This window comes from Homo sapiens, chromosome 5, assembly GCF_000001405.40.
Source record: "Homo sapiens chromosome 5, GRCh38.p14 Primary Assembly".
In the NCBI taxonomy this organism is placed as follows: domain Eukaryota; kingdom Metazoa; phylum Chordata; class Mammalia; order Primates; family Hominidae; genus Homo; species Homo sapiens.
In genome coordinates, this window is record NC_000005.10 from 79,798,964 (window position 1) to 79,811,653 (window position 12,690).

General features: G+C 41.5%; 1 protein-coding gene across 1 annotated transcript in view; it reads left to right on the forward strand.

The window, feature by feature from the left end:
• The window catches only part of CMYA5 (cardiomyopathy associated 5), a 110,387-nt gene extending 109,128 nt beyond the window's left edge, over positions 1–1,259 (forward strand). The window contains exon 13 of the mRNA NM_153610.5: positions 407–1,259. Within this exon, the coding sequence (NP_705838.3) occupies positions 407–653 (247 nt within the window). The 3' untranslated portion in view covers positions 654–1,259. The remainder of the gene's footprint in view (positions 1–406) is intronic.
• Positions 1,260–12,690: the final 11,431 nt, after the last annotated feature.

The following is a 12,690-nucleotide window of genomic DNA, read 5'->3' on the forward strand; positions in this document are numbered from 1 at the left end:
CATTGTATGGAAGGCAAGCTTACGGTACTTTTAAAAATACATGGCAGCCTCAAAGGAGTTTTATTCAAAAGAATGACACGCCATGAATGCGGTAGTTAAAACATGTGGGCAGCTGGGAGAGAATTAGAATGTGGAGATAAATCACAAGGGAGGCATATGTTGGCTATTCTGGGACTGCCTCCTAATGTAGGAGGAGCAAAATTATTAAACATGCTCATCTGTTGGGATAAGCTCTGCATTTTAGCATCTAGAAGAAATCTAGTGAAGTATTTGGGACAGCATTATTGCAACTCCTTATTGTGAAGTGGAGTTAATAACTGAAGAATTGGTTATTCCCAAGTGACTTTCCTTTTCAAATTCCTTGAGATTTCCAGAGTTTTATGTTTCCCATTCGCTTTCATTTCAGATACACATTTTTCTACAGTGGTATTGTGAGTGATGTTCATGTGACTGAGCGTCCAGCCAGAGTGGGCATCCTGCTGGACTACAACAACCAGAGACTTATCTTCATCAACGCAGAGAGCGAGCAGTTGCTCTTCATCATCAGGCACAGGTTTAATGAGGGTGTCCACCCTGCCTTTGCCCTGGAGAAACCTGGAAAATGTACTTTGCACCTGGGGATAGAGCCCCCGGATTCTGTAAGGCACAAGTGATCCTTGGCTTTCAGAATTTGCAAGAACAGCGATTTGAATTTTGGGGGGGTCTGCTGTTCATTCCTTTAGGTGCTATACATTATTCAAAAAGTCTCCCGCGCATTTGCACTAATGATGGCTGCATGCATAGCAATCAGCATGTGAGCAAAATCGACAAGAAAACCTTGACTTTACAGAGCAGTGTGTGAGTAAACAGAATGAAAACAACAACCTCCACTCTTTAGTTTATATAAGTTTGAGTTCTTTCCTAAATTAAAAGATCTACACTTGAGTTGGGAACCGAAAGAGAAAAATGGACTTCCATCTGTTTTACTGGTAAAGGAAATCCTCTGATGGACAGGTCAGAGTGAAGGAAGGTTGTGCTGGTAAGACATCTCTGACGAAGAGCCATGGATGCTTTCCACAAAATGTCACCTCGCTGCACTAAAGGATGATGAATCCTAATCATTAAAGGAATTGTTTCAGCTGATTTAAATTTATAATGAACTCTTTTGTAATAATGTATACTGTAGAACATGAGTCTCTCCTCCCTAAAATTTTAAATGTAGAAAAGTGCTATATATTAGAAATTTCCATTTTGTTAAATAAATGGTTAGAGTCTATAAAGCCAGTCGTGTTATGTGAACTTACTCCATGTAACTTACTGGCCTGGCATCTCTGGAGCAGGACAAACTGCAGAGTAAAACTCATTACACTTCAGTGCAGTGCACTACTATTGATTTTCCTGTGAGAATTTTACACACACACACACACACTTTAAAATCTAATCACTCTCAGACCATAGTTATAGTCAATTAACAGAAGCTGGGAATCTATTTTTACTAAAATTAAGTGGTCATTTTAAGATATTATGTTGAATCCCTCAAAATCTTTCTAAAATATGTGTGCAAAGTGGATAAATCTAGAATGTATGTCAAGATGATTGTGCTTGTCTTCTATAATGTAAATGTGTTGATCATACTTGTAGTTTTTAAAAAATACTTCAAAACTTGAATTCAGATGTTTTCTTTTTTTTTTTTGAGGTGGAGCCTCACGCTGTCACCCAGGCTGGAGTACAGTGGCATGATTTCGCCTCACTGCAACCTCCGCCTCCCAGGTTCAAGCGATTCTCGTGCCTCAGCCTCCTGAGTAGCTGGGACTACAGGCATGCGCCACTACAACTGGCTAATTTTTATATTTTCTTTTTCAGACGGGGTTTTGCCATGTTGGCCAGGATGGTCTTGAACTCCTAACCTCAGTTGATCTGCCCGTCTCGGCCTCCCAAAGTGCTGGGATTACAGGCGTGAGCCACTGTGTCCCGCCCAGATATTTTCTTGAATTGAGAAATAATATCCTTCTTTCTGAATATATTCTAAAATCTCTTGTTTAATAGCTAGAAAATCTGAACTGGATCTGTAACTGCCTTACTAGAGCCCTTGGAGGCCATTACCACCCTGATTGCAGTTCCAGCAGTTGCTGGCAAGATGGAGTCTTGGTGAAACTGGAGAAGTAACTTGCTGCTTTGTGGAGAATGTTAGTTTCACTTTCTCAATCCTTGAAAATGTTATCCTCAGGTTCTGACTGCTCAGCCAGCCGTGCTCATTATTACTGGTTGTTGTTGTTGTTGTTGTTGTTTTGGTGTGAATGTGTAACCAAGTGAATTTTAGAATTTATCTCAGTTTGGCTTTCTCCAAAAGTAGACCAACTGCAAGGCTCAGTGCCTGTTGTTTACCTAGGAGGTGATTCCAGGAAGAACATTTGAGGAAGTGGGTAAAGTCATTAAAGGACATGTGTTATGAGTGGGTTATTACCACTGTGGGCAGCTGGGCTCTCCTGTGCCAGAGGACCCTCTGGAAACCACACAGAACATACCAGAAGCTGACACTCAACTCCTGTCCAACCCCTATTGTTGAAGGTGGCCTGGAGTCATTCCCATCCCCCAACTTTCCAAGCTGCATTTCCTGGTCCTGAGAAAGCCCTCATCAAGAGTAAATGAGAAACACAGACACCTGAGAAGGTATGTCGAAAACTGTCTAATGCAACTGCGCATGCACCCTCGCTAGCCGCGGGTGAAGGGGACCAAGTGCCAGCAGCATCTGCCGTCAGGTTGGAAGCAGCTCTGGAATAAAGGAGAAAACCACCATAATGGAAAGAACCAGGTTTGAATCTTGATTGATCCCCTAATAGATAATCGCTTTGGGCAATTCAGATCCTATAGTTATGTCTTTTCTCAGGATAATTATAAACACCAGGTTAAATGAGCATGTGGAATGGCACAGCATTTTGTAGTTTATATGATATGACAAAGGACTCCAGAAATCCTCTAAGTCCAGCCCTCCACTCCCCAGTGAGTGACCCTCCTGTCTCTGACTCTGTGGCAAGGGGACGGTGGAAGGTAGGGCTCTGGGGTCAGGAGATCCATGTGTCAACAGCCTCTGTCTGCCGAGTGATAGGAGATTTCTTGGTTGGTCCCTGGGCATTATTCTAGTACAGACAAGTAGAACTAAATTAATACAATTTCCACATTCTATTAGAGAATTGTCAAGCAATGTTTTTCTTCCTTGGCCCTTCTCTGATTTTCATTTCCCTTCCTTCTTTCCTTCCTCTTCATATAACACAGAGCCTCAGAGGGAGGGAAGGAAGTCAGCAAATTTTGGTCAAAATTGCTCCCCTGGAAATCTGTCAATGATGTTTATTAATTTAATAACAGGTACAGCACATGAATTCTTTCTTTTAGTCCTCATCAAAACCTTGCAGAATAAAAATTGTTGCCATTTTATAGCTGAGGAAACTAGTCTCAGAGTAGTTAAGTAATTTACCTTGTTCACAGTCACAGCTGGCAGGTGGCAGAGTGCAGATTTAGATACAGCTCAAATTCTGACCTAAGATTAGAATGATTATATTTTGCTTCATTCCTTACATAGATCATTTCCCCACATATATGTGGTGTGTGAGAATTATGTGTGTGCACACACTTGCATGCATATATACACTTTCCCTTCCCCCCCCGGAACTGACTTCCTTCCTAAGCTTCTGTTTTGTTGTTGGTGCTGTCATAACTCTTGGAAGACATGGGGTTACTTTGATTTTTATTTCAATAGCAATGTGACCTTAATTCATGTATGCCCAGCACTATTTTCACATGGTTGTTTGAGAGTTCAAAAGAGTCTATAACATTGTTTGTGGAGAAAATACTTTATCATACATGAAACACAATTCTGCTTCTAGAAGATATGGGGTCAAAATAAAGGAGTTTGTTGGGGGGGAGGAAATGAGGATTAACACTGGGGTCATTTCTCTTTGCAAACACACCTGGCAACATTAGATGGACATATTCTTTGTTAAAGTCGGAAATATTTTTCTACTGGAGCAAACCAGAACATGTTCCTGTTGTTTTTCTGGAGGTACTTCCTCAAAGTCCAACAGAATTAAAGTATTGTACTTCATCACACACACTTACTAAGATGTGTGCTTAAAGTCCAAACACAACACTCTCCCATCAGAAGCATCCTTAAGGCCTCTGAGGGCTGTATCTGAAGTCCCTTCTCATCCTCACTGTGCTCATTGCCCATTAATCATCGCAAGTGTTGAGTTGCTGAAAGAACCCACACAGTTTACATAGGACTCAAAACAGTTTACATTGGTGGAACAGCTTTATTACAGGCAGAGGAAACAGTACAGCCACACAGAAGAAGGATAGGCATGGAAAGGGGTCCTGAGATCTCAGGCGCAGGCCTCTTTGGCCTCCCACTACTGGGCTGCACAGTGTGCACATTGTCTCCAGGCCTCTAACTACCAGCAGTGTATGTGTGTTGCAGCTTGATGCCAGGAAGCTCAACTTTTGTCTGTGGTGGTGATGGTCTCTCATAGAAGGTGAGCTGGTCACAGACACTTTCTAGCTATGTGATAGGCGTAACCTTTGAAAATCACCTTCCTCACTCCTGCAGGCTCTACCAAAACCAGGTGCAACATCAATCCAATGATTTTTACTAAACAGTGCTAACAGGCAGATATATCCTGCTCTGAAACAACTGATGGATCCATAATATAGAATGTCACTTATTGCCAATTAATAGATTCCATGGGCTGGGCACAGTGGCTCACACCTATAATCCTTGCACTTTGGGAGGCTGAGGCAGGCTGATTGCTTGAGCCCAGGAGTTTGAGACCAGCCTGGGCAATGGGGTGAACCCTGTCTCTACTAAAAATACAAAAAAATTAGCCAGGTGTAGTAGCACTCACCTGTAGTCCCATGTTCGTGCCACTGGAATCCAGCCTGGGTATCAGAATGAGACCCTGTTTCAAAAAAAAAAAAAAAGGATTCTGTGTCATTGTCCAAGCCTCAGTGGCTCTCTAGGCATGCAAATTGCCAGTTAACATCAGGTGAAATTAACTCACGCTAAGTACTTCTTGGCTTGAATTCCTGAGCCCAGCTGCTAAGGGGTGGTTCAAGAATACTACTAGGAAGAGCTGAATGCCTCTGCTGCCAATAGCCATCCTCTTTAGGTCCCTGATTTGGTGACTTCTAGGGCTAGGGTGTGAGTCCAGGCACATCCCTGAACTGAGTGAAGTTGGAGTTGATTTCCACCCGTCACAGTGCTCGTGAGGGAACATATATCCTGGGCTGTTTTTAGAGCAGGAGATAATGCATCTCATTTTCCTTTACTACCCTTGAAGTGTGCCTCTCTTTCATGTGCCCCTGTTTTTGTCCTAAGTGAACTGTCTTTCTATGCTGAACTTGTTTTTACTATTAATATCAGTAATTTCAGATCCCCAAGTAACATATGAGCTTTATAATAGTTTGAGAATAGTTAAGAGAATGAGGACTATTTGGCTTGGAACAAAAACACCTTAGGGAAGGATATAAGAGGTCTTCAAAGATTTGAAGAGCCGTTACATGGAAGGAATTAAGCTTAGTTTGATTTTTCTACTAAGAGCAGTGGGTAGACGTCCCACCAATGGGTAGAAGTTGAGGAATTCAGTTGAAGAGAAGGAAGAACACCCATCAGTGACAGCTGGCTAAGGGGCATGTTGCTTAGTGGGTTATGAGCACTCAGGCAGAACGATCAACTGTCTGGAATATCAAAGAGTGGATTCCTGCTTTAGGTTCTAGATAGATGGTGTTTAAACTGTGTTTCTGAGTACTGGAATTCCATGGAGGTGCCTGAAGGTCAATGTGGGATCCAACAGGAAGGCCAAGTGGGCATACATTCAAACCCCTATCTCATTTCATCACACTAGCTCAATTTTTATCTATATTACACATTGGATTCCATATTATAATTTATTTGATAAAACACCTTCTATGGTCAAATAATGTTTGAAAACTAGAAAACCTCTAAGATTCAAGTCTGAATATGTGACCCAGGGTGATCCCAAAGCCTACAAGTCCTCCATTCTTTCAGGGTCCCCTTTCTTTTACTATTTAAATACTGATGTGATGTTGACTGCAAGACATTCTGTTTCCTATCCCAAATTTCCAAGAATTCCTGTAGGCAATTACATTTTCCTGGTTAACACCTCTGACCTCCTGCTTCCAAATGCTCCTCCTCACCCCTAGCCATCTCATCATTACTTCTTAATGTTCCCCTAGGCCCATTTGGTCTGCATCATCCCAAAACATGGACATGGTGCTCCTTTGATTCCTTAAGGCAGTGCTAACACAAGGCTGCCATCGTTAGTGGTTAACATGGCTTTTCTTTAAGACTTGGGGTGACTGAGGGCAAGTTTTCATACATAAAACTTCATACATAAACATGAAGCTCGATGGAAAACATCCAGCATTGTAAGGAGCCCCTTCTGAACTTTTCTTCACCCCATTTTCCTGCATATTGAACAGACTACTCCATTTTATATTATTCTGTAAGTTTTAGCCTCTGCTCAAGCTTTGGTTTTTCAGAGCAGGCAATGAAATGAGAAAACACCAAACATTAAAAACACCTCTCTTACCAGTATAGACATCTTTCATAATTTTATGACAGCAAAATTTTGCACCCCTTATCTGTGTCTCTGCTATCCTTCCCAAGTGTTAGGCTTCTCTCTGCAGAACTAAAAGGCCCATTAAAGCAATTCTCCCAACCAAAGCACATTCCTCTTCCCAAGATGAATTTGGTCATTACCTCCGAGGATGGTTTTAGAATCCCCTTAGCATCTCCCCTTTTGTGGTTTTCTGTAGAAGTAGCCAATGATGAGAAATTCTTTTTCAACCTAACTGGACTTCATTTTGGGTTGCCCCAATACCATGAAGAACTTTATTCTTTGAAGGATTTCAAGGAGAAATGATACCGGTCTAGAGTCAACATGCTACTTTAAGATTTTATAACTTAGGGGGAAGGGGTTAAAATAATTAAGAAAAAGAAAAAGTGGTGAAGGAGAAGCACCAATCATTCAGCACATCTGTAGTTGTGTTCACCATGGGTTGGGCACCATTTAGGCCTTAAGGAAATGGCAGTCATTAAATCAAACAAAATCCCTGCTCTCAAGGAGCCTGCATTCTAGTGGAGGAAGACAGACAATAAATACAGGTATTGTATGTCAGTGGGGAATAAGAACTAGGAAGAAAAATACATCAGAGAAGAGAATAAAGAATAATAAGAAGTACCAGCTGGGCACAGTGGCTGACACCTGTAATTCCAGCACTTTGGGAGGCTGAGGTGGGAGGGTCACTTGAGGCCAGGAGTTTGAGAACTGTGTGGGCAACATAGTGAGACCCTGTCTTTATAATAAAATAAAGTAAAATAAAAAATTTTTAAAAAGTAATAGCAGGTAGGGGGTGCTGTATATTTTAAGTATGGTAGGAAAGTATCTCTGATAAGATGATATTTGGCTAAAGAGCTAAATGAAGTGAGGGAGCAAGCCCTGTGGATGTGTGTGAGGGAGGAGCATCCCATGCAGGAGGAATAGAAAGGAAGGAGGTCTTGAGGAAGCAGGATGCGGGTGCATTAGAGGAAGAGTGAGGATCCCAGTGGGGCTGCAGTGGAACACGGGGGAGAGAATGGTAGTGGATACAGTCCGAGAGTAGCTGGGGACTGGTTCACAATGGCCTTGAAGGCCAAGTAAAATCTTTCTGTTATATTCTGAGTGAGTTGGAAAGAAGTTATAGTCATGAGGAGCAGAGGCAATGGCAGTCAAAGAATTTGCTTTTCCAGTGTTTGGGTATCATGTTTTTCAATATCAAATGGGGGGTTTTATAAAGGCCTCCTGGCCTGGCCTTTTGCCATTTTCAGCTTCTGCAGAAAAGTGCTGAAAGGGCTGTATGGGTGGGAGAGAAGAACAGGCATTCTTTGTCTCATTCTCAGCTCTGTCCAGGATCCCTGTGGCCCTGCTCACTTCCTGCTTTCAAGAGGAGCAGCTGCTGCTGATTGGTTGCTATTAGGACCAGCCTAGAGCCAAACTAGGGGGAAAAAAAACCCTGCTATTTTACCCGGGCTGACTTTGGGCTGAATTGAGTCTGTTTGTCCACTATGAAACGTTGGCAACCACCAAGAGTGGAGAAAAATACAAGCACATTTGAATGTTTCGTATCTTTTTAACTGTGTGATTTTACAGTTACAGAGAAGATGAGATAATGACATAATCTAGGGAGACTATCTGGCCAAACAGGCCTCATATGTGTGTATCTATGTGTGCATGTGAGTGTGTGTATATATTTCATATGTGTGAACATGTTTGTGTGTATCTATATGTATACGTGTGTGCATTCATGTGGGGAGGTAGAGGGATGGGAAGAGGTAAATTATCATGACAATTCAGGGATGGTTTTCCCACTGAAGAGTCCAAAACTGGACTTGGGAGAGCGTTTAAAGGTTGTCAGATCCATGGTACTCAGTCACATTAATCAAGCTCACAAAAGACTAATTAATAATTCAGAATGCCATTTGCTTAATTTATAGTGAGAGATCAAATTGCCAAGGGGGCTGGGGAATGCATATCTGCTAGTCAGGGGATTCTTTCGCTAGGACCCTGAGCTCCAGGCCCTGCAGGCACCCACATTTGGGGCTGGGCTGCACAGACTGCTTGAGGCTGCCTACCTGTCAAACTCCACATTCTCAAGAGAACAGATGTATCTTCACGAGGGAAGCCTGTGATAGTCAAAAAGATTGTTTGGTGATCAAGGCAAGGCACGTGGATGGTGTGAATGGCCAACATTATTGAACTGCACGGCCAGCCGTGTGGCCCAGATAGTTGGTTTTGCTGGTCGGAGTACTTTCTTCCTGCATCAGCACTGGGCTTCCCTGAGAAATCCTGATACTTTGCCGCGGTCTGTCTATTCAGTCTGACTTCTTACATTCACAATTCCCTAAAAAAAGATGTCTGAGGACTATTTCCCAGACTATAGTTTTCTTTTTTATTTAGTGAATACTTGATTAGATTTCTGGGCCCTCCCCCTCCTGCTTTTGATCTGAAAACTATTGTGCCTGTTATGGTAACCTTTGTGGATGATAGAACTTCATTTATTATGTGAAGATCGTGCTAACTTAATACTCAAAAGAAAACCATTCTTGCAAATGCACATGTCACATTTCACCATCTCCCATGGGTTGACTACAGGTGGGAGGAGGAGGAGATTTTCATTCAAGGATTTGGTGTAATTAATGAGAGAGAGCAGTTCAGAACCAGAACCACTTGAAGATCTGGGCTGAGACACGGCTCTGCTCGTTCATATCTATGCGTCTTTAGACAAACTGTTTAGCGTCTCTTAGGGTCATCATTGTAAAATAGGAATAATACTTGCTATGGTTTGAATGTGTTCTCTAAAGGTTGTATTAAAAACTTAATCCCCAGTACAACAGTGTTGAAAGGTAAGACCTTTAAGAAGTGATTACTTCATGAGGGCTCTGGCCTCATGAATGGAGTAATGTCATTATCTTGGGAGTGAGTTTGTCATTGTGAGAACAAGTTTAGTATGAAAGTGAGTTTGGCCCCCTTTTGCTGTCTCTTGTGAACTCTTTGGCCTTTCTGCCTTCTGACATGGGATGATGCAGCAAGAAAGCCCTCCCCAGATGTGAGCCCTCAATTTTGGGCTTCCCAGCCTCCAGAACCAAGAGCTGAATGCCAATAATTTTAATTAATAATTAATAATAAATTTATTTTAATTATAAAGAATTATATAACTGTAATTCTTTATAATTATATAATTATATAAATATATAATTTTTATATATAAAAATTATATAATTTCTTTATTATAATTCAATTATAAATTACCCAGTTTCAGATATTCTGTTATATAGCAGCACAAAATGGACTAAGATAGGTGGTTCATTCAGACAACAAATATTAATCAATTACTAAGATGCCAGGCACTGCAGTAGGTACTAGGCATACAGCAGTGACCAAATTTAACCAACATTCATGCCCTCAGGTAGCTTATGTTCTAGTGAGAGGAGCATACAAAGAAGGAGATAAATACATAAAGTGTTTAATATCAGAAAGTGACATATGCTGTAAAGAAAAATAAAGCAGAAAAGGGCTGTTATGACAAGTAAATGAAAAAATTAATGTATGTAAATTCTTGGCAGAGTGCCTGGCATAAAACGACAGCAAACATTTTAGCTGTTCTTACTAATTCAACTACAATTATAGAGCTTGGTGTACCCCTCAGAATAGCACAATGTCCTCTCACACACCTCAGCATGTAGTTAGGCTACCCATGACCACTGTATTTCCAATGAAAGTTGAATATTTTTCTATTTTTGCTTAGGGCAAAAATTCAGGAAAAGTATTTAGAACAACGCATAAATTATCCTTAATTTCACCACTCAGAGATAACTGGTATTAACATTTGATGTATATTTTCCCTGGCTCTTCTTTTTTCTTTAGACACACATCACATGTTTTTAAAAATGCAAATAAACTCCCTGCTATCTAATCTGCTTTGATCACTTAACGCTGTTATGAATATCTCATGTCAACAAGCACAGATTCACATCATTATTCTCATGCCCAGGTATAGTCCACTGAAAAGGTCAACCTTAAACCTTCCAACTGCTCCCTCACTGATTAATACATGTCCAACTGACATCCCAAGTTTTCATTTCTATGAAAATGCTTTGGTTTTAAAGGCACCAACTTCACTATTTGGCCCCGAGTTTATCTTGATTTTTATCATGGGAAAGTGTATGTTGTTTCCATATTTACTATGAACTTTAATCAGTTTTTATAAAGCCAGCAGGGAAGATTGAGTAGAACTCTTTCATAGGGCAAGCTTGGTGCCCACTTTCATTTATAGTCAATTCAATGTCATCATATTCAACTGAAATATATTTTTAACATTCACCGTGTTAGGACACCACCCTGGCTCCTGCTGGAAGCCAAGATGAGTAAGACATAATTCTTGTCTCCAAGGAGGCCGTGACAGATACACAGACATCTGTGATACGGTATATAGGTCAGAAGAATCATGACATTTCAAAGTAGAGAGAGAACATATTGGTTTGGTGTTCTCATGAAAGGTTGTGCAGAGTTCAGGGCATTTGGGACATGCTTTTATTGTAGTAGGTGGTGGTGAGGATTAGGGAAGTCTGGACAGAGGCAAGAGTATGAGACAAATGGGAAACAGGAGGGGAACCATCCAATCGGACACAGGAAACAAGTAAGGAAGCAGTGAGCAGCAAACCTGGAAGGTACCTTGAGCCCAGTTGATAATAGCTGTTGAGAAAACAGGCAGGAGTGTTTTTACTTAGCACAGTACACGATGGGGAGTTATTAAAGATCTTTGACCAGTGAATAAAGTGGAAGAAGTAGGAGTGATTATATATGTGAGTTGCCAACTAGCAGGATAGTTATGTGGTTATGAAATTCTGAAGTGGAATATTGGCTAAGGGAAAGGAAAGCAGGGAATAGACCCCAGAAGACTAAGGTATAGAATCTAGAGGCCAGAAGGGGAGATGAAAAGCAAAAGTCCCAGAGTACACAGACTTTTGAACCTGGGTTCCTGGGAGCATGACTGTGCTACCAGCAAAAGAGGCAACAAAGAACACACAGTGGGCTAGTGGGGAGAGACATCATTTCAGCTGGGACTAGTTGAGTTTGGGGTCATGCAAATGGAGCTGTTCATCAAGTCTCAAGCTCATGGACAAGCTCAAGGTCAGGGGTCCATATTTGGGCATTTTCTGCATTCCAAGTCTCCCTTACCAGCATTGTGAACTTGGGGAAAAGTTATTTAACTTTTTATACCTCAGTTTCTTCATCTGTAAAACTGCAACAATAGAAGGCCTACTCATCCCACTCTTAGGGCTGTTGTGAAGAATAAATTATTTAATACCCCCCAGGCACATAGAGCGATGCCTGGCATGTAATATGTATTTAAATGTTTGCTTTATGTCATCAGCATGTTGATTAAGCAGGACTCTTTAGATATAGTCTTAAAAGACATTTTATTGTTGTCTCCTTTGTCCTTTAAAGGTTATTCTGGGGAGAAGTTCTAAATAAAAATGTAGGCAGAGAAACTCAGGAGGACTCAGGTGGCATATCTTTCTCAGAAGAAATGTCTGGACAAAGGCCAGATGGCTGAGTAGAAGTTGGCCAGATTGAGGGAAGTGCATTGTAAGGGCAGGAGGAAGGAGAGGAGAGTGTTTCTGATATACAGTAAAGGTGACGGGGTGAGAGCCTGATGTCTTGGAGGAACTAAAGATGGATCTTTATGGCTGCGGAGGTGCTTGTGGGAGGTGACTCTGGGTGGTGGCTGTGGGAGGGCTGTGGGGTGATTGTGGAGATATCTGTGGGGGTGACTGTGGAGGGTGTGGCTGTGGGGCTGGTAGTGGAGATAAATGTCTTTGGGGGGGAACTGTGTGTGCCTGTAACTGTGGAATTGTGGAGGTGCCTGTGGTGTGAGGGTTCTTCTCTGAATAGGGCAGGTCTTAAACACAGGGCCTCATAGAAAGTGGGCAGGAAATAAACATTGTTGAAAGTGAAGTCTACAAACTATGTAGGTTTTTCATTCTTCTTTAACACAATTTCCCTTCTCACAATTTAAAACCATCATGCATCAACTTCCTGCTTTTATTCACTGGAAAATTTTAGGTCCATCTTCAAGTGGTTCTCGACTTGGAAATCA